The sequence below is a fragment of the Homo sapiens genome, chromosome 17, assembly GCF_000001405.40.
Source record: "Homo sapiens chromosome 17, GRCh38.p14 Primary Assembly".
In the NCBI taxonomy this organism is placed as follows: Eukaryota; Metazoa; Chordata; class Mammalia; order Primates; family Hominidae; genus Homo; species Homo sapiens.
The window spans coordinates 15,095,038-15,117,736 of NC_000017.11; the positions used below are offsets into that span (position 1 = coordinate 15,095,038).

A 22,699-nucleotide genomic window follows, 5' to 3' on the forward strand; every position below is an offset into this window, starting at 1 on the left:
CAACTACTGTAAGTCAACCGGACCTTTCCCTGCCACATAGCCTCTGCTTCCCTCTCTTTTCCCTCTTCTCAGCCATGACTTTGGATATCTTTTCAAGTTTGGGGAAACTTACAAGTATGTACCTGAGTTGCTTGCCAATGGTTTTTTGGCTTAAGAATTGTTTATTTTCCTCATTAATTTCTAGCATTTCAGTGGGCAACTCTTATTTACTTATTCAACCTGGGGAAGAACATAGATTTTAGTAAAGGGATTTGGTGAACATTGATGGAGTTAAGCAATGGTGGGGTTGGACTGTAACTGCAGGTTTGAGGAGTGACAAGGGGTTGAGAATAATGGGGATATCAGTGATGTTTGGGTAGAAAGGGGAGACAAGAAATCAATAGAAGGGGGACAAATGCTTTAAAATTACATTCTACTCATTTGAATAAAGGCCCAGCTTCCTCTAATTTGAACAATAAGGAGGGCTGAGGACTGAGAGACCGAATCCCTGGACTCTATGACATCACTATCCTCCATTCTGGAGTAGCCAGTCTGAGATTATATGCTCCGTAGGTCCAAAGGCATCCAAAAATCCATGAGGCAGGTGGTAGGGTTGATCAGCCATAGAGAATGTGTACTACCCCATGATATATCTGCTGAAATATGGACAAAATTTGGATGTTATCCTTCTAATTTAGGGTGGCAAAAAAAATAAAACCACAAATTACATCCTATGAAAAATACACGATGGAGATATCCCAGATCCTTTGAGATTCATGAAAATAATCTCACTTCCAAGAGAAATTTACCATCTGTACTAGAAGTGGCTGTATTTCCATGATGTCTGTAAGAAGGGATGTGGGGCAGGCTGCAGTGATAGGAATTGTCCTTTGGAAGGAAGGGCTCTGGAACAGGACCAACTATTTGGATCATGTGTGCACAGAAATATCAAAGTATCAAAGCCTGTATGTCATTCTAGGAAATTATATAAGGAAAAGTCAATATAAATCAGATAGATCATTTGCTTATCCACTCATTCAAGTACTCAATATATTCTTCAGGGACAGTGCAGAGCACTGGAGATATACATATTCAAATACATACATACATACATATACGCACACATATGTATGTGTGCATATATATACATATGTATATATGTATAGTGTGTGTGTGTGTGTGTGTATGTATATATATATATATTTAGAGAGAGAGAGAGAGAGATTTCTGCCTTTCAGGCTCTAATGAGAGAGATAATATCATAATAGCATAAAGTAAATACGTCTTATTAACAAAGTTACACCCAAATGCTAAGGAAGTGTGGTGAGGGAAGGAAAAGTTGAACATCTGGATTCACAGATCTGGTGAGAAACAGGGGTAAATGCCAGTTACCTGAATTTAGTGTGATGGAACAAGGACTCATCTTGGACCCAGGAAAACTTACAGTGTTACAGTCCCATCTGTTACTGACTAATTGCATGATGTTGCAGAAACTGGCCTCAGTTTCCTCACTGGAAAATTGAGGTATGTCTTGTAGATTTCTATGGCTTTCGTATTTGTGTGTGCATGTGAATTTTAACTAGCAATGCGTCTGCTAAGCAGAAAATCTTTGCACCCAGAATAGCACTGAAAGACTGCTGAGAGAATGAAACACATCCAGGCTCTCTTTATCTTATTGTCCGTGTTTCCAAATACATCGCAATTTCCCTGTCTTGTCTAATTAAGCTGATTTTAAACAGATTGTGATTTAGAAAAAGAAAAGAAAGCTAAGTATTTCTAGCAGTGTCAAACCATTTATTTTGATTAAAAGACAGTCTTTATATCCAAACAAGCCTGTCTTATTTGAACCCAAATGAAGAAAAAGATCTTCATCCTAAGTAATGGGTGGTCAGTATTTTTAATAATCCTTTATAAAATCTAAGTGGAAAGGATGTCTTAGAAACACACAAAGAGACTTAGAAATGGGCCTATTTTCTGTGTTAAAACAAAACCAAAACTAGCCACCTGGGAAACAACACTCACTACCCTACACACCTTCTGGCTATTATCTTCTTTCTTTCCCTGGAGACTCAAGCACTGTGATGTCTCCATTTTTCTCACCTCCTTATTGTAGTTCAGCCCACCTGCAGCCAGACTGCACCTCAACTACTCATCCAAACCCGTGTCTTCCCAGGTCAACAGTCACCTTGTGGCCAAAACCAGTAGAGGCTCCTTGTCCTCATTCTATAGAAGTTCCCTGCCTTGACACTGTCCTCTCTTCCTTGGGCTTCTGGGACATTAATCCCTCCAGGCCTTACTGCTTCAAAAACATGACATAACTGTTTATCATGTCAAGAACTCTGCTAAGAATTTTACATATGTCCTTATTTCAACATAACAATATCTGTATAAAGGGTATGTTATATGCAATTTTACGGAAGACAAAACAGGCTTGGAGAACCTTGTCCAAAGTCACAAGGCAGGAATGTGGCTGTGCTGGTTTTCCCAAGGAGACCCTCTTAGCACTATAATCATGATAATAAAAAGCATCAGCCCCGACTTACCTTATTGGCTGATTATTTTCTCTATTCTGAATCTTTCCATTTTACATGAAACGTTTTCATTTAAGCAGGGCATAGAAATCCTGCAAATGCTTCCCTCGTGTCAGGTAACATACCAGCTTTTCATAGACTTTTCCTCAGCAAAACAAGCCTCAGACAGTTGCTATTATCCCTATTTTACATTTAAGGAAACAATGGTTGAAAGAGATTGCCCCAAATCACAGAGCTCGCTCTTTGTCGGCCTTCATAGCCCCCTCCATCCCATCAGCCCCCTCTTCCCCCTCCTTCCTGCACTCTAGCTAGGAAGACCTCAACCATACACATGGTTTTAACCCTACACTGTCGACCTCAACCCTGCATTTCAGCCTCTTCTAGGTGCAAAACCAGTTATCCATCATATTCCAAGGTCATCTCAACCAAAAGAAAAACACATAAAAAGGGCCAGGCACGGTGGCTCACGCCTGTAATCCCAGCAGTTTGGGAGGCCGAGGTGGGCAGATCACAAGGTCAGGAGTTCGAGACCAGCCTGACCAATATGGTGAAACCTTGTCTCTACTAAAAATACAAAAATTAGCCAGGCGTGGTGGTGCGCACCTGTAGTCCCAGCTACTCGGGAGGCTGAGGCAGGAAAAATCTCTTGAACCCGGGAGAGGGAGGCTGCAGTGAGTCAAGATCATGCCACTGCACTCCAGCCTGGGCGACAGAGTGAGACTCCATCTCTCAAAAAAAAAAAAAAAAAGAAAGAAAGAAAGAAAGAAAAATACATAAAAAGAAAAGATCACAGACATAGTCATCTTTCCTCCAAAACTTAAATGTCTTCTCCCTCCACTTCTCCTAATGAACCACACCACCACTTTCACCACGACATCAGAAATGGGCAAAGCATTCTTACCCCATCCCACCTCCCTCATTCTCCGCATCAAGGTAGTCCCCAATTTCTGTTAGCTCCATCACACCACGAAGTGAGCCCACCTGACTCACATTGCCCCCCATTTTCATGCACACTCATCTTTTCTTGCAAGGATCCCTTAAATTACCTCCTGATTGGCCTCTCTGTCTCCAACATCACACACCTTCAACAGTTAAATCCACAATGCTGCAAAGCAATCTTTCTAAATCTGAAGTGCTACCCTGCTGCTTAAACTCTGAAGTGACATGCCTCGTTGCTTTCCCAATCTCCACCTCATCCATTCCCCACTGGAGCAGCTATGGGTTTATGCGGGGTCGACCACTCCTCTTGATCATGATGGACAAGATTCCAGACCTGAGACCATCAACATATGGAATTCCCTATCCATGATTTAGAGTTAGCATGGAACCCAGTTGGTCTAATCAGGATGACAAGGTGATCTCAGGATGTTTGTTGGATCATTAAGAGAAAAACTTAAACCTTCTCTTATCTCCAAACATAAATGAAAAGTAAGTGTTGGTGCCATCTTGTAACAACCAGGCCAGTCAATCTTTTAAACCTGACGTTTCAGAAGATTCTAAAGTTCTGAGCTATTAAAATAAAAGTCATTCAGGAAAACCAGTGTGTATGTCAGGCCTTTTGAGATGTGTCTTTTCATCTTGAGTACTTCCTCTGTGTATACAAATACCATTGTTGAAAACTCTGTGAAGATAATAATTGCATTTTTCTCATATTACATTAGCTTGTTTCATATGAAACTGCAGTTTTTGTGGATCAAAATGGTGGAATCTTGGCATTTCATATGGTTCAACCTGATAAATGTCCATCTCTCTGTTTATCTTCTAAGTTCCTTAAAATCAAGAAACACCTTGGTGGTACTGGAGCCTAGCAGTGTGTTTTTCTATTAGTAGTTTGATAAATGTTTGTCTAATTGAATTGAACAGAGACATTCAATATAATACTCTGCTTCTGAGATAAGGCTCTACACTTTCCACCTAAATTTTGAGGCTTCCTGCTCTGCCTCCTTCCTTGGCTGTTCCTTGTCCACAACCTGTAAGTGTAAGAATTCTCAGGGTCCTTTTATCTTTTCACTTAAGGCAGTTTTCTGATGGTCTCATGGACTCCCATTAATTTGTTCATCCCCCCACCCCCAACAAACAAACACACAGGCACATTCCCCACACATATGTCTTCAGTTCCAACTCCTCTCCCAAACTCGAAGCTGAATTTTCCAATTACTTACAGGACATCCATATGTAGATGTGTAGGTATCATCTCTCTGCAGACGTCACAAAATAAAACTCATGATGTACCTATTTCCTATACACAGACGTTTCCTACCTATCTGATCTCCTTTCACACCCCATCTTAGTTAACAGCACTCCATCTTCCCAGTGGCACAAGCTCAAAATCTTGTCATTATCCCACACTTAATCACTGTTCACTGTCAAATTCTGCCTCCACATCCCTTCTGTTTCTAAGTCCCTCTTCCGTCTCCCCTTCGTTACACACATTGCCAATGTCCCAGTTCACTGACAACACTCACATCCCCCATCAGCATATCCTCTATCCCATGGCAAGAGCAAACTTTCTAATATATCTATATTTTACCATACACCGTCTCTTCTCAAATATACTTACTGTTTTCTCATGGATGCAATGCAAACATGCAAGGTAAACATTGAGGGAAGACTGCTCAACATATAAGAGAGATCAAAATGAGGAGAAGTTACTCAGGGTAGATTGCCTGCAAGAGGTGAGCTTTGAGCCAGATTTCATAGGAGAAAAGAAATGAGAACAATCTTAACTAAACCAAGGGAAAGCAGAGATGCTGAGAATAGAATCCTTGGGGATTCCTTTCAATGCTTCAGAAATTACTTCATTTAAATCAGAAAGTGGCATTTGTCAGACTTTCCATGTAAGATGACTGGCATTATAGCAATTATTTTTCAGAGTCTAAATATCTCCACTGAAAGTTAGAGAAACAAAGCAGAAAAAAATACTGTAAGAGTTTTGTTGTTAGCATTTTTTTATTCTGGGACAATACTCTTGCATTGGTGATTCAAAGGAAAATAGAAACGTGGACAGTTTTACTACTAAAGAAACAGGCCCAATATTTAAGGCTTGAATCGAAAAGTTATTTTTGAATATTGCAAACATAGAACGTATTCGAGTATGTGTTCCGAGTATTGCAAACTTAGAACATATTTGAGTATTCGTTCCAGGAACACATTCTGATATTCTGCCAAGCAGAATCAGAACTCCCCAAGATCAAGGTGCCTAAGAGCTACTTCAAATGTTTCATAAGTAGTTGAGGCGCACATCAATCAACTGACAAAAATCCTTAGACTTATTTATTTTGTTTCAATTTCTATATCTTCATGAGGCAGAAGAGGACAATCTGGTTTTGAAAATCTTCATACCGAAACAATGTAATACCCACATCAGCCCAATCTTACATCAACTTCCAAAGTAATTAGTACATAGAATATCAACTAGGATATTCTTTTTACTAGCACTCTTGGGAATATCAAAATAGAACACGTTTATTGTCAGAGTTATATTAACACATTTAACCCTTAAGACATTTAAGCAAAAGTCTTATGCCTTCCCACAAGCTACCAAATTCCCAGTCTTCTTAAAGAGCTGGTGGCACTTGACCTTTAGACACTACAGCAGACAAGGGATCAGGAATACCCACATTCTGCTCACCCTCCTCATCATGCAGTTCTCACAGGGAAGCTATTCTTAAGAAAGAGTAACTAAATGAAAATATCAATAATGTTAATTATTCATCTAGCCCAGTTCATTATTATTCATCTAGCCTCAATCAAGCCCACCTGGTAAGAGTTGCACTGGTCACATGCTCAGGAAGCCTCAAGAACTAGGGGGATTTCCGGTCTCCTGCTGAATCCCCTCTCCTTGGGGAGAGAAAACAAGAGAGAGAGGTGCTGCATCACCTTCCAGGTTGTGTTTGTTCTGGGAACGCAGGATGGAATTCTGCCTGCCTCCCAAAGCCCCTGAATCCCTGGTTCTCCTCACCCACACAGCTTATAGACCCAGCTGTGGGAGAAGAAACATCACTATTAGGTTGGTGCAAAGGTAATTGCACAAAAACCGCAAACACGTGGATGGGGACAGTGCCAGAAGATAACCCTCACGGCGACAACCTTAATGAGGTTTCACTCTGAGCACTAGCAAGTATGTGTATACAAATACCATTGCTAAAAACTCTGTGAAAATAATAATTGCATTTTTCTCATATTACATTAGGTTGTTTCATATGAAACCAGTTTTTGTGGATCAAAATGGTGGAATCTTGGCATTTCGTATGGTACAACCTGATAAATGTCCATCTCTCCATTTATCTTACAATAAGTTCCTTAAAGTCAAGAAACACTTCGGTGGTACCGGAGACTAGCAGTGTGTTTTTCTATTAGCAGTTTGATAAATATTTGTCTAATTGAATTGAATGGAGACATTCAATATAATACTCTGCTTCGAAGATAAGGCTCTACACTTTCCACCTAAATGTTGAGGCTTCCTGCTCTGCCTCCTTCCTTGGCTATTCCTTGTCCGCAATCTGTAAGTGTAAGAATTCTCAGGGTCCTTTTATCTTAACAAGTATGTCTCCATGAGTGCCTCGGATTCTGACCGATCAGATGATCATTCCCTTTCCTGGGATGGGTTGGGGCAACCAGGGCGCAGCTGAGGGCAGTGTGATAGGAACGAATGTGCCCACGGCATCCTTTTGCCCACCATTCCGTGGGATCGGTCACTATAAGTATCCAACCACCTAGGGGCGCTTGCCTGTTGGCATTTACCCTGTGTCCCTCACTCATCTGACCCTGGGGCTGCCTTCCTGTAGCAATGCTCTATTTCCCATCAGGTGGAGAGAGCTGGTTTCTGCATACTTCCATCTCCATCTTCTGCTGCAGCAGAACCCAGCTCAGTATCTTCAAGGCACAGAGAAGGCCACCTCTTCTAGCCCCTGGTCACCACTTAAAGTGGCACTGCCCATCTTGGGAAGCCTTTGCTGGGGATGCCTCTTTTTATGACGCCTCTCATAAGAGGGGAGGGGCTTCCTATGGCACCTCTGGAAGAGGGGAAAGGCTGAGGATTTGGGATTTTTAAAAATTTTTAATTGTAAAAGTTCATGCTTCTTGAAAGTAGAATCAGACAAGAGGGAAATGTGTAAAATAAAATGTGAAAATCTCCTTACCTAGCCGTCTCCTCTTCACACAAAAACACTGTTAAATGTCTCGTGCGCTTTCTTCCAGACCTTTCTCTAAACAGAGGAAGGGTCGTGAGGGCAGAAGGGGAGGAGGGATTGTTGCTCTTGTTCACAAACCTACTATTCTCTAACTATTGTTTACAGATATATCCCCATGTCAGTGCATAGAGATTTTTCTTGATGAAAGTATATATATATGCATATTTGAATTACAATATACTTGAATTATATATATTTGGATTATATTTATATATGTGTGTGAGCATAAAAATCTATATATAGATAGAGATATAGATAGATAGATAGATAGATATAGATAGATAGATAGATTTTAAATCATTATAGCCCTAAAGCCCTAAAAAACTTTCTGGTATATGAATATCATAATAGCAGACATTTTGAAAAATTCTTTGCAGACATAAACAATGGAAAGGTATAAAAATTAATGGAGAAATCCAAAGAGCCCGGTTTTTTCAATACAACAAATATAACCATAAAAATGATCTGGCCAGGTGTGTTGGCTCATGCCTGTAATCCCAGCACTTTGGGAAGCTGAAGTGGCTCGATCACCTGAGGTCAGGAGTTCAAGACCAGCCTGGCCAACATGGCAAAACGCCATCTCTACTAAAAATACAAAAATTAGCAGGGTGTCATGGCAAGCACCTGTAATCCCAGCTACTCAGGAGGCTGAGGCAGGAGAATCGCTTGAACCTGGCAGGCAGAGGTTGCAGTGAGCCGAGATTGCACCACTGCACTCTAGCCTGGGAAACACAGTGAGATTCTGTCTCAATTGAAAAAAAAAAAAAAAAAAAAAGATCTCCAGGCAGTATGAAATATTTCGCTTACAAAATACATTTTTTAAATCTGTGGCTGTCAGAATGCTTCTCTTCCCCTTCTTCTCTCACCGTAAACCAAGAGTCCAGCACTAACAGTCAGACTTTTGCCACCAAGACAAATGCAGAGAAGGGGTCCCCAGAAGGGAGGTTTGCTAAGGTTGAGGGAAGGGTCACCCAGTGAGATGCCCACAGTAGCCTGAGGTCCTTTTAGACCTCCACAACAGACATGGAGATATTTAGGGAGTTGTTTAGGGTTGAAGGGGGAAGATAGACAATGCTGCCCAGGAATGAATTAAAGACTCCTACCTCCAGAAAGGAGGTATCCTTATTATGACAATTAGCTGTCAATACTTTGCTCCGCACCCACACCCCTCAAGGGAATCCTGCCTTTTAGCAAGACTGACCCAAGTACAGAGCTGGCCATCCAGTAGCCTATTATCAAGTAACCTTCCATCTAAGTAGCCTATTATTAGCAAGGAAACATGGCCAAATGGAATTTTTTTTTTTTTTTTTTTTTTGGAGACAGAGTCTTTCTCCGTCACCCAGGCTGGAGTGCAGTGGCACAATCTCAGCTCACCGCTACCTCCACCTCCCAAGCTTAAGCGATTTTCATGCCCCAGCCTCCAAATAGCTAGGATTACAGGTATGCACCACCATGCCTGGCTAATTTTTTCTATTTTTAGTAGAGACAGGGTTTCACCATGTTAGGCAGGCTGGTCTCGAACTCCTGGCCTCAAGTTGATCCACCTGCCTCAGCCTCCCAATGTGCTGGGATCACAGGTGAGAGCCACCGCACCTGGCCCCAAGTGGAAATTAAAACAGCACTGTATTAGCAGTGAAGCCAGGCTCAATAATCTCCCAGGCTGCTGTCCCACCCATTGCCCCTCTGCAGGCACTCACCTTTCCAAGTCACTTTGATGGCTTCTTTCTGCGAGTTTCTACAACCTTCAGATCCAGCTTTCTCCAGCCACAGGAGTGTCCTCAACCTGTGCACAGGGCGGGCTAGAAGGACCAGGGGGTGACCCCCTACAGAAGCAGCCTGCAACCAATCATGAATGAGCATTAGTGCCAGATGCTTCAGCTTTGCATCCATCAGGCATGAGGTGCATCTACATGCCCTGGCAGAAGTCCCGATGGGAGGGAGCACCAGTGCTCTCTGACATAGCCTGCTGTGGGCACACCTGAATTGGCTTTCTCCCCTTTCCTGCCCATTCTCACTTCCTCCACCCCTCCTGGTGCTTCCCAGATCCCCCTCCAAAATGAACCCCTTGCACTTGAATCCTTATCTCCTCATGGGGGGACAAACTTAAGACACCAGGCCTTGAAGTCTTTCCTCCTATTTGCTTTTCATCCTTTTGCAAATTTATACAGGTCAGAGAAGCAAGTATTCATCCAGGGAAGCTTATCATTTTCGGAAGTGTTTAGAAATGATAAAAAATGAATCAAAATAAATAGGAGTAAATTTTATTTTTTAAAAAGCACCTAATGATAAATATGATCCATTTAATCTTAGGAGACAAATTAATAACAAAACTTTTCTTTATAATTAAGTGATGAGGCCTTCAACGGACACACTATCAAGAAGCTCAGGATGTCCTTTTTGAGGCCTCCTCCTGCTCTCCAAACTCTTCATGATTGTGCAAAAACGCCGAGCAGAGAGAGAAATGGAAATTGTGACCAGTCTCCTAAGACGTCCCAGGTTGGGTTTGCTATTGGTCTCATTAGTGCCACTGAAACTAGGTTTTTAAATCTTGTCTGCCTTGATGGAAGCATCCATGCCCTTGGTGACTCAGTTCCCAGCATCGACTTCAGGCTCAGCTTTGGGACCCATGTACCCAACCATGAGGGGCCACTCAGGTGTTGCGGGAAGAGTCACAAGCATCATCCAAGAAGACTGTCTGCAGTTGCCCAGGCCAAGGTGAAACTGGAAGCATCTTTTGATAAATATACAATGTACCATCTCACTCAGTCCCTGCTAGATAGGCCAACGAATGCTTTGAAAAACTCCTGGAAGGATAAACATCAAAATGTTTATGTTGTTGTGTCTGCATTGTGAAATTGGGGTTAATTTTTATTTTTTCTTTCTGTTTCTATATTTTCTGAATATCTTCTGTGAAAATGTATTACTTTTGCCACCATATTTTTTCAATGCTATCAATTTTTTTTAAAGAAATTGCCACTGGTGTTCACTCAGTCATTTAACAAATATGTGCCAGGCATATCCTAGGCACTAAGAATGCATAAATGAACACATAAAACACCTCCTTTCATGGGTGTTACACACTAGTGAGGGAAACAGATGTTACATAAGTCAGCAAATATGTACAGAATATAAAGTCAGGTCTCGGTGAATGTTGGAGGAACAGCAAAGCAGGACGAGCCATAGGTGACCCAGGTAGATCATGTGCAAATGGAACCTATCTCAGTTCAAGCTGCTATTACAAAGTAAAACAGATGGGTGGATTATAAACAGTAGAAACTTATATCTCACAATTCTGGGGGCTGGAAGTCTAAGGTCAGTCTAAGGTACAGGCATGGTCAGGTTCCATGAGGGTTCTCTCCCTAGTTTCCAGATGGCTGACTTCTTATATCCTCACTTGGTGGAAAGAGGGCGAGAGAGGGATCTCTCCAGGATCTCTTTTATGAGGGCACTAATCCCGTTTATGAGGGCTCCACTGTCATGACCTAATCACCTCCCAAAGGCCCCACATCACAATACCATTATATTGAGGGTTAGGATTTCAACATATGAGTTTGCGTGGGAGCAGGAGGAAGAGTATACATTCAGTCCATAAATGAGAAACCATCCAGAAATTATCCATTACAAAGGAGTTACTGTATCCTTCATTTTTTGCATGAAAATTATACAAACTGTTGGAAAACAATTCATCTTTATCTTGCATTTCAGATTAAAATTGTACTATTTACCTTCTATATAAAATGATCTAAAACAAGATCAATTTATCTGTTAGAAGTAACTTTAAAAGTTTTTTTAAACTAAATTCAGGTTTTATATGTGTCATCTTTCCCAGTTCTGTTGATTTTTCCCTCTTTACTCACTCTCTGGACTTCTACTTTTCAAAACCACCTACAAATGCCCCTCCACTGTATAGCAACAGGCTCCACAATCAGTGCAAAATGCCATGATCACCGTGACTTGCCCAGCCACCCACCTTCATTCTTCACAGCCTAAGAGTCAAGGAAGTGATGAGTCACCCTTCATCATGAATGCCTCGGCTAGGTAGGCCCGCACAGGCTTCAGTGTTTAGGACCCAGAGTTATCCCTTTACAGCATGTTGAGGAAGAGTTGCTGAAGTTCATCTGCCTTTTGCAGCCTGCACACCACTGTTGAATGTTATTTCATGAAAGAAGGATACCCAAAACTCACCAAGCCATAAGAATTCACAACCGCATTTACCCCCATCCTTTGGAAACGGCGGGATCAATTATTTTCTTTCTAAGTCCTCTTGGCCATTTCCAAATGAATGTAGGGTGTCCCAGGGGTTCCCTTGTGGGCCCATTCAGTGTGGCCAAGAGCCCCACAGTCCGCACGTACACAACAGTTCTCAGTGATGCTGCAGAGCAGGACAAAGAAGGACAGAGCTAGGTAAGAAGCCAAAGAGAAAAGGCTGCCAACTGGAGAGGCTCTTAAAGAGACACCATAGGAGATTTTAAAAATTACTGTATATAAAAGAGTTCAGGTGGTGGAACTGGAATAGTTGCTATAAAACAGTTGTTCTAAAACTCTCAAAGAAAACACTGCTAGAATTTAACAGAAAGCTTCTGCGTTCTGCAGTTGAAAACTCTAACTGTGGCACGGGTGAAATCACTCTCATTTGGCCTGGAGAAGTGGGTGTGGAAAATGGCACCCCGAGGCAATCAAAGAGACAGACTTGTGTTTCCTCTGCTGAGTCAAAGAAAAGCTGAGCACTGAGGATGGCCAGGCTTCACATAGCCAAAGCCCAGAGCCAGGAGGATAAAAGACTTTTGAGCAAACACATGCCACCAAGTCCATGCACTGAATCTGGACCCATTTATTCTTGAGTGCCCTACTTATTTTTTTAATTCTTAATAAGATTGATTATCTGGTGTTTTGACCCATATAGTAGATTACAAGAGGCGAATAAGAAAATGGGTCGGGGGTCGGGCACGGGGGCTCACACCTGTAATCCCAGGGCTCTGGGAGGCTGAGGTGGGTGGATCACGAGGTCAGGAGTTCAAGACCAGCCTGACCAACATGGTGAAACCCCATCTCTACTAAAAATACAAAAAATTAGCCAGGCATGGTGGTGCATGCCTGTAATCCCAGGTACTCGGGAGGCTGAGGCAAGAGAATTGCTTGAACCTGGGAGGCAGAGGTTGCAGTGAGCCGAGATTGCACCATTGCACTCCAGCCCAGGCAACAAGAGTGAAACTCCGTCTCAAAAAAAAAAAAAAAAGGAAAGAAAGAAAATGGGTCAGGGATGCTGTTGGGTCAGAAGCAGGAACACTGATTTTTAAAAAGACTACACGTACAATAAAAGTGACAGGTATGTGTAAGAGAAAAGATTAACAATTTTACAACAGCCAACAAGAACCTCCCAAGCAAAACAGAGCAAGTTTTTTGTTTTTTGTTTTTTGGGTTTTTTTTTTTGAGGCGGAGTCTCGCTCTGTCGCCCAGGCTGGAGTGCAATGGCGCTATCTCGGCTCACTGCAAGCTCTGCCTCCCGGGTTCACGCCATTCTCCTGCCTCAGCCTCCCGAGTAGCTGGGACTACAGGCGCCCGCCACCATGCCCAGCTAATTTTGTGTGTGTGTGTGTGTGTGTGTGTGTGTGTGTGTATTTTTAGTAGAGACGGGGTTTCACCGTGTTAGCCAGGATGGTCTTGATCTCCTGACCTCGTAATCCACCCGCCTCAGCCTCCCAAAGTGCTGGGATTACAGGCGTGAGACACCGTGCCCGGCCAAAACAGTGCAAGTTTACTAGAAGCAAAATAGCCTAATTCCTTCACCCACTTCTAAGATACCACAGAAACCGATATTCATAATGAAGGCTTCGGAGAGTCAATAGTAAAGGCACTTGCATTGGGTATTCTCAGGGAATGAAGTGGTGGGGGTGTGTTTTAGACAAATTCCCATCAAAAATGGTCAAGTGGAGAGAGTTAACTCCAAAGGGCCACAAAGGAATTTTGGGGTTGATGGAGATGATTTATATAATGATTGGGAAGTGGTTGCACAGATGTATATATTTGTCAATTCTCCAAACTCTATACTAATGGAGGTGTGTCTTATTGCATGCCAATTACTTCAATGAAATTGATTTAAAAGTAAAAATAAGGTTCAAGTTAAAATTTGGCACTTACAAGGCAGAAGTCAGCTAGCTGAGACTCCACTAATACACACAATGGCCTAGTTCCTTGGTGATAAGGCCGTTAGATTAATTCAGGAGCACACATTATGCCTGCACTGTGCTGAGTCCTGAGAATACGAACATCTTGGAAATAGCATCTCTCTCTTGGAAAGGCCCATAGTTTGATGAATTTAGTGGCTAAAAGATGCACTAATTTTCTTAAAACCTCAACACACATTAGAATGGGGTGTTGAAAAAGTTAGGGTCCAGAGAGCCCCTCTGACATGGGTATATTGTTCCTTGCCTCTTCTCTCAGGTTTTGCTGACCTACACAATTTTCTGCATTTGGAATAAAGCCCACTTTTTCCAGCATCATTTTAAAGAGGAACCATTACCACCCTCGACTGAGAACAATCCCAAGGGAGTTGGCAGAGTGGATTTTCCTCTTGATTTCTGAGCAATAAACGGGACTTGACACAAGCTGTCAGAATCTAGTAGCTCTAAAACTACCTACTGGGTGAGGGAGGAGACACAGCACTGAAACATTAGGCTGCAATCCCCCTGACCCAGGACAAAGGGTCCCAACACTCAGTCATCTGGGACTGTCTGAAAACCTATCAAAGGTTACTAATATAAAAATAGAAACAGATTAGATGGCTGAAGAGTGTCTTAGCCATAACCAGGCTTGCAGCAAGGTTTTATACATATTTGTTGAAAGAATGAGTAAAATACCAAGCTTTTGTTCTTATGACTGCTTTATAATACAGTGGGGCTGTAAGGCTAAGACTGGCAAAAAGGAAGAGGTGAAGCAATTCAATCCCTAAATTTAGCTGAGTGCTGTTACACCTGCACCTTGCGCTTCCTCTCTGCCCAATCCCCACCCCTCAGCCTAATCCCCGCCCCCTCAGCCTAATCTCCCCACCCTCAGCCTAATCCCCACCCTCACCCCATTCCCCTCCCGCTCAGCCTAATCCCCACCCCTCAGCTTAATCCCCACCCCCTCTGCCCAACCTAGTACCCCTCAGCCTAATCCCCACCCCCTCAGCCTAATCCCACCTCCTCAACCTCATCCTGATTCCAAAAGGTTTACAGGCTCAATCAGAGGATGCCTGGAAGTTTTTGTGTGTCTTGGGAGCTGTAGCCCCAAGTGTAACCCCTTCCCAGTGCTTCCCTTGGCCTGTTATGTACTGGCAGCATGTCAGTCATCACCCCAGAAGGAAACAGCATCTAACTCAGATTGTAATTCTCTTAAGGGGAGGGATGACACACAGAACTGTGGGCACATTTAAGGGAAACAGTGAAGGATGGTGAGGCGCCCAGAGACTAGCAACATGGGAGGCCATTGCAATCCCCTGGCCTAGGGTCACCAGATGCAAATAAAAATGCAGAACACCAGTTAAATTTGAATTTCAGATAAACAGCAAATAATTTTTTAGTACAAGTATGTCCCAAATATTGCACTTATATTTACTTATACTAAAAATATTACTAGTTGCTTAACTGAAATTTAAATTTAACTGGATGTCCTATATTTTATCGGGTAGCCATACCCAGGCCTGAGGCAACTTGGTGTTACTGGAGCCCAGTGAGAGTTGGAGCCGAGGAGGATGTCAGGGAGGCCCAGCAGGAACGGTGTTCACTGAGGTGTACAGACCAGAAACAGAGCCCACTGCAGCAAAGAGCAAGGAGAAAGATGGTACCTCTCTCTCCTCTTGCCCTCTAATCTCCTAAGGGCATTTCCCAATGGCAGAAGGCAATTGGAAACCAGTCTACGAGACAGCCTCACGGCTATAACCCTTAGGGGTTGGTCTCCTGGAGCAAAGAGGCCAGCAGAGAAGGCAGAAAATGGATATGGAGGTTGAGGCAAACAGACTAACCAGCTTAGAAATGTTCTATATTCCTTCTAGGAGCATATGGAAATTATTTTTATTTTTGCTTAATACCACCAATAAAGCTGAATTCATAGAAAGCAAATATTTGGGGTGTCTCCAATTGCACAGTAACAATAGAGCTTGAATTTTATATGGATATATTTACTCACACACAGGAAGACACCGCTTTCTAAACATGTACATGTTCGGTTCACAGGAAGCTGGGGAAACTGTGAACCGGAAATAGGCAAAGATGACACTGCAAAGTGCCTCTTGGACAGTTAAAAACTTATTCTGCACCTGGGAACTATCTCAAGACAGAGACAAGTAATTCCATCGGTCATATTTTTGCTGGCAGTTTAAAAGCAAACACTGGGCCAGGTTTGACTTGCTATTGGAGTTGAAAGAATTAAGCATCTTTGGAACCTCCTACTTTTGGCCCGAGCGCGGTGGCTCACACCTGTAATCCCAGCACTTTGGGAGGCCGAGGCAGGCAGATCACGAGGTCAGGAGATCGAGACCATTCTGGCTACCATGGTGAAACCCCGTCTATACTAAAAATACAAAAAAATTAGCCGGGCATGGTGGCGGGCGCCTGTAGTCCCAGCTACATGGGAGGCTGAGGCAGGAGAATGGCGTGAACCCGGGAGGCAGAGCTCGCAATGAGCCGAGATTGCGCCACTGCACTCCAGCCTGGGTGACAGAGCCAGACTCGGTCTCCAAAAAATAAAAAAAAAGTATAATTAAATTTCTTTATCACTTCTAACTTCTTTGCCCCCTCCAAAATCAAGTTAAACATCAAAGACAGTGCAAAGGAGGGGGAGGGGATAACAATGAAGTCCTATACAGACCCTTTAGCTTAAGGAAGGAGGTGGGGCGGGACGTTGGGAAGCATGCAGAAAGGTCTGAGAAGGACCAGGCTCCTAGTTCTAGCTGGTTCTGCCTCCTAATTGCCCCCAGCTCCTTGTGCAAGTCACTTAACCTCTTCAGGCCTGTTTTATTTTTTTGTTTTTGTTTGTTTGTTTTTATCTCTGTACTAAGGGAATTAGTTTTGAGCCATGTAGCTTTTTCCTGATTTAAGAGTCTCTGGGTCCCGTATGTGCTTTGGAAATTCAATTCTCAATAATCCCACAGGACAAGAGTAAATAGAAATCTTAGCCGACTATACTAACAAAGGTGTCTTCACTACCTAGGATTAACCTAGAGACTGGCCAAGCCCACTGGAGTTTAGCTTCCATTCAGCTGATTTTACCGTCCAGCTTCAAGAGGAGCCATCACTGTAGCAGGAGGGGAGTGGGAAGGAAATCCTTCCCGAATGCTTAGGACAGGATAAAGAGGAAAGTTTTCTCACTCCTCACATAAAGTCAAAAGGTTTTTAGTTCACCAAAGGCACAACAGCCTCAATGCCCACAGGATCCAGCCAATGGTTAAAGAAAGACATAGGAGGCCGGGCTTGGTGGCTCATGCCTGTAATCCCTGCACTTTGGGAGGCTGAGGTGGGCGGATCACAAGGTCAGGAGTTCGAGACCAGCCTGGCCAATATGGTGAAACCCCGTCTCTACTAAAAATACAAAAATTAGCCAGGAGTGGTGGCGGCTGCCTGAAATCCCTGCTACTTGGTAGGCTGAGGCAGGAGAATTGCTTGAACCCGGGAGGCGGAGGTTGCAGTGAGCCAAGATCACGCCACTGCACTCCAGCCTGGGTGACAGAGAAAGACTCTGTCTCAAAAAGAAAAAAAAAAAAAAAAAACACAGAGAATGAAATGGGGAAAAAAAATCTGCAATACACAGGCAGTCCTTATGAAACCCTGTATTCTTAACTTTAACTTATTTGTTTATTAATGTATCTTTTCACCTCCTGACTGTGCCCATTAGCTTTTAGTCCTTCATGTTCCATGATCGCAAGTTCAAAGCAAGACATCCATGACCATCTGCCCAATACTTTATCTATACCCGCTCCAGGAGCCGCGGAAAAAAGTTAGATCCCCTTAGAAGTTTGAGAGAGCACCCTTCTACTTCACACAGCTAAAAGGAGCAAAAAGAAAACGCATGCCTCTCTCAGTTGTCCTGCATCTGAGCTGCATCATTTCAATGGAGGTAGAAATCTGATGCTTGTTTTTCCACCCTGGCTGAAGAGGTCTAAGCACCGAGGCTGTTCATCTGGGTCTCAAAGTGCACAGCCTAGGAAAATCCTGGGAAGATACTCAGGAGCTTACCCAGATCATGGGGTGCAGAGAAAGCAGCCTCATGCTAAGTCCTCCTTAGGAAAGAGGGAACAACAGTGGATTCTTATGCATGAATCAGCGTTCCGATGATCTCGCAGGAAGACCACAATCAAAGAGAAAATTCTAAATTATAATGAGCCATGTGTGTCTCAGTGCGACAGTCATGTTCTCCCAGACTTTGAAGTTTGTAAGGAATTTGAGAATCCAACTGGAGGTTCCGCGGGGCCACAGTGAGGGCCCCAGGGGACTGCACGAATGGGGGCCCTGCAGGCATGTGTCCTTGGTTCCCATCTATAAAATCGCCAGATTTAAACAGACAGCTGCTGTTCAAGCTCTTAAAATGCTGTGTTGAGGGAAACGCAGGGCTGCCTCGAGCCTGCTCGCCCAGCAGTCAGTCTGATGAGAAATACAGTTGAAAGAACAAGCTGGAAAGCCAAATACCTGTCAGGCTCTTTCACACTGCAGCATTGCCAGAAGGTCTATAAAAATGTCATTGTCTCTCAGCTGCCGGTGATTATATTACCCTTTACATTGGCTGTTGGTAATAAAAAAAAAAAGGCAAATATCATTTTTGCACTGCTCTGGCCTTCCTCTGGCCTTTTTCAAACAATAATAGACTAAATATAAAGAGACAGAAGTCATTACTGGACTCTTTAACTAGTGCCAAGGAAAATGAATAATTAAGGAAACATTACTTGAAAGAAATTTACACGGTTGCTTTTAAGTTAGAACTAAATAAGAGCTCTTTAAAAATACATCATTTCCCCTTTATCTTAACACAGCATATGTACTCTGGCCTAATATATTATGGTGGCTACTGTTTAGATCTTACCAGGAAAGAAAAATGCTTTTAGATTCCATTATCCTATTATAAGTCCCAAATCAAACAGAGACACAGGGAAGAGATGAGGAGGCTGGGGAGGTAGAGGCTGGTCTGTTTGCACAGCTTCCTTCACGTCTGGCCTACCAACCAATATTTAATTTTGTTCACCTAGGACAGCAATTCTCAGACAGTTCTCTGACCCCCCGAACCCCCCTTTAACATCCATCTCAATTTCAGGAAGCCTAGCAATTTTTAAATAATGTGCTCAATTTTGTTCTCTGAAGTTGTCAAGAAGAGGTAAGCACAGATAACCCCTATCTATGCCTCAGCATCTGACTTGGTGTGTGCAAGGCTGGTTCTTGTGGAGCAATAGCTCCTTTCCTAGCCCTCCTCACTTTCTGGCTCTCCCTCCCTTTCCCCATCTTGCTTCTTTCCCCTCATTTGAGTCTTTAGCCTGCCTTACACAAGGAGAATTAAACAGAGCTGGCACCAGACCCAATAGGACACTCTGTGCACCAGGCGACAACCTTGACCAGTTGGAGCGACCATAGGAAGATTGTTTAGCAGGAAGTCCAGGGCTTGGAGCCACTTTTCTCAGCCTGGTGCCATGAGAGCAGGTTGTCCTGGGGCCTCAAGCATGGCCAGTCCACCTCTGCAGTGCCAGATCCAGAGACAACCTGAAGTCTGGCAGAGTCCAGGTGTGTGGCTACTCGGTAATGTGAGGCTGCAATAGGAGAGGCAACCTGAGTTCCTGATGTTGTCTTAGTGCACATTATGTTTCAGGCCTGAAGCATTGGGCCTTGGGAATTATCTGATCACTTGTTCAGATAGATGTTCTGTGTCCTCTCTTCTCAAATGCCCTGACTCTCCATACCTAGGTGCTTCACGTGCCATAGCCCCACTCCTTTCCTCTCTGTTACAGGCTGACTTGCATCCCCCCAAAATTTATATAATGAAATCCCAACCCACTTCCTTAGAATGTAGTTGTATTTGGAGAGAAGGTCTTAAAAGAGGTGATTAAGTGAGGCTGTTGTAGTGAGGCCCTGATCCAATATGACTGGTGTCCTTAGGGGAACAGACGCTAGGGCTCAACGGTGTGAGGAGAGAGCAAGAGGGTGGCCATTCCCAAGCCAAGGAGAGAGGCTCATAGTCTCAGGAGAAACCAAATATGTCCACATCTTGATCTTGCACTTTGCCAGAACTATGAGAGAATAAATTTCTGTCGTTTCAGCCACTGAGTCTATGGTATTTTGTTATGGCCTAACAAAACGAATCCACTCTACAAAGGTCAATATTTTGCCCCTTCCTGAAAAATTTATTGTATTATTAGGGATGTTATAAGCTACAACCTGGGCAACTTAGAACGACAGAAATTTAATGCCTCACAGTTCTGGAGGCTGAAGGTTCAAGATCAAGGTGTCAGCAAGGTTGGTTCCTTCTGAGGCCATGAGGGGGAAGCTGCCCCACGCCTCTCTCCCAGCTCCCGGTGGTTCACTAGTGATTTGGGTGCCCCTTAGATTGTATGCACAACCCCCAAGCCTCCACCTCTGTCTTCACGTGGTGTTCTTCTTGTGTACTTGTCTGTCTCTGTGTCCAAATTTCACCTTTCATCAGAACACCTGTCATATTGAATTAGGTCCCACCCTAATGACCTCATCTTTCTTTTTATGGAGGTATAATTGACAAACAAAAAATGTATATTTACAGTGCACAACACAATTTTTTCTGGTTTGGTTGTTTTTTGTTGTTGTTGTTTTGTTTTGTTTTCTTTTTGAGACAGAGTTTCCCTCTTATTGCCCAGGCTGGAGTGCATGGTGTGATCTTGGCTCACGGCAACCTCCACCTCCCAGGTTCAAGCAATTCTCCTGCGTCAGCCTCCCAAGTAGCTGGGATTACAGCCATGTACCACCATGCCCAGCTAATTTTGCATTTTTAGTAGAGATGGGGTTTCTCTATGTTGGTCAGGTTGGTCTTGAACTCCAAACCTCAGGTGATCTGCCCACCTCGGTCTCCCAAAGTGCTGGGATTACAGGCATGAGCCACCATGCCTAACCCATAACACAATGTTTTATGTATACAATGTGATGGTTAAATTCTAATGACCTCATCTTAATTTGATCATCTGCAAAGATCCTATTTCCAAAAAAGGTCACATCCACAGATACTTGGGTTAACACTTTGACAGCGGTGCAAAGCAGACAAATGGCTAGGCAGATAGGGGAGTGTCCCTGGTGAAACCCCACCTCCAAGCCAAAGACAGTTTAAAGCCTGAAAGCCAAGCTGCAAGTCAAATCCATGGACTGGATTGAGAACCTGTCTTTCCATTTGTTGCACTTTCCTCTTATTCTCCTTCACCTATTTTATATATACCTACCCTTTCCTAGTCCGTTTTTCTACACTGCTGTGCTCACCTTTGAGTGGTGTTTTTGCTTTAGCCTTTCTTTGCATACTCATGAACCAATCAGCATGCCCTCCCTATTCTGAGCCCATAAAAACCCTGGACTCAGCCACACTGAGAGACAACTCGACCTTCCCATCCCCTCTCTGCTGAGAGCTGTTTCCTCACTCAATAAAATTCTCTGCTCTCATAACCCTTCAATTTTCAGTGTGACCTCATTCTTCTTGGATATGGGACAAGACCCACCAAACGCGGGGGCTGAGCACACAGTTGTGGCAGCCATGGGAGCTGCAGGCCAGAGCACAAGCCAGATGCATCCCAGCAGGCCAAATAGGTGGGGTGGCCCTTGCTGCATGCCCGGCAAAGGGGCCGAGAAAAATCCAACATCTTCCTGGAGAACACAATTCAACTCACAGCCACTAATTATAGAAATATACTTATGTCTAGAATGCCAATGCCAGGCAGTTATTTATGAGTAAACAAAGTGAAGCTGCCATCATTCCTTCCTCTAATACTTCCCAATCTACTCATTAATGCTTTTAGTCCCTTTATTGGAGAATAAAACTTTTCTTGGCTCAGTAAGAAAGATGATTTCACCTGCAGGTGCACCTTGAGAATCTCCACTGAAATGCACATATGCAAGAGTGGCTGTTTCCTGGCAGAAGGTGTCATGGCCAGGTAGGTGCAGGACAACTAAAGGGTTGTGGCATGAAAGGCTTGGTGATGAGGAAAAGCTGGAAGAAGCAGGAAGGAAATTGAAAGAGGTTGGGAGTTGCAGAGATTTTTGTGTGTGCTGATTCAGATCATTGTATTTTTTTCATCCATGTGTTTTCTGTCCTGTGGACTTGGCCTTGGCACTCAGGGGAGAGAACAGTGTTTTGAAGGAGCCTCTTATGAGCGTACATGGTCCCATTAGACCTGGAACAGAGAAAATCAGAGGTGAGCAGCTGATTCTTCTGACAAGAACAAGACAGGAAAAGAAGAAGAAAGACTGGTGGAGTCTTTAAAAGCTACCTTGACTTGTTTGTCTTGCCCAGAGGTAATTAATTATACATCATCACAGGAAAAGGCACATGTTTCGGAAATGCTCTTCAGTGAACTACATCCATTTGTGTTTTCAAGGAGTCAATCCAGGTGATTAAGGCAGAGGGAGGACTTGTATAAAGAGAAAAATCTACAAAGCAGTTTCATTCCACACGTATTTGCTCTTTCAAAGCAAATTCAGCAGGAAATCCAAATCACTGATGCAAACCTTTGCAGTTTAATTTGTTCCCAGGGGCATACTGGGGGCCATTATCCCAGAAGCATTTACATGAAAATCCCATTATTTAAAGTATATTCATTGTATTTCTGTTTAACCCTAGGCTGTTCATTGAGAAGTTAACAGTAAATAGGAAGAAAGTTGAGGATGATAGGAAGTAACTTTGGGGGTATTTAATGCCAACAGGAAGGACACCAGCTTGGCAGCACTTGGAGGTTATTATAAGAGTTTGTTTAAAAATCATCCACAGCAACGAGTCATGGGCTGGGGTGTGTGTGTGTGTGTGTGTGTGTGT

General features: G+C 43.3%; 1 long non-coding RNA gene across 1 annotated transcript, besides 1 other annotated feature; it reads right to left on the bottom strand.

The window, feature by feature from the left end:
• Positions 1–9,947: 9,947 nt before the first annotated feature.
• CDRT8 (CMT1A duplicated region transcript 8) lies at positions 9,948–11,150 on the bottom strand. The gene is made up of 2 exons (NR_103559.1): positions 10,991–11,150; positions 9,948–10,506 (listed from the first exon to the last, which is right to left on the bottom strand). It is a non-coding gene; the product is annotated as a CMT1A duplicated region transcript 8 (long non-coding RNA).
• Positions 10,933–12,132: an enhancer, noted in NCBI's record as "MED14-independent group 3 enhancer chr17:15009287-15010486 (GRCh37/hg19 assembly coordinates)". NCBI's record gives its function as "activates an origin of replication core promoter dependent on BRD2, BRD4, P300/CBP and CDK7 cofactors, and independent of MED14, by STARR-seq in HCT116 cells {active_cell/tissue: HCT116}" and the evidence as "EXISTENCE:reporter gene assay evidence [ECO:0000049][PMID:35650434]".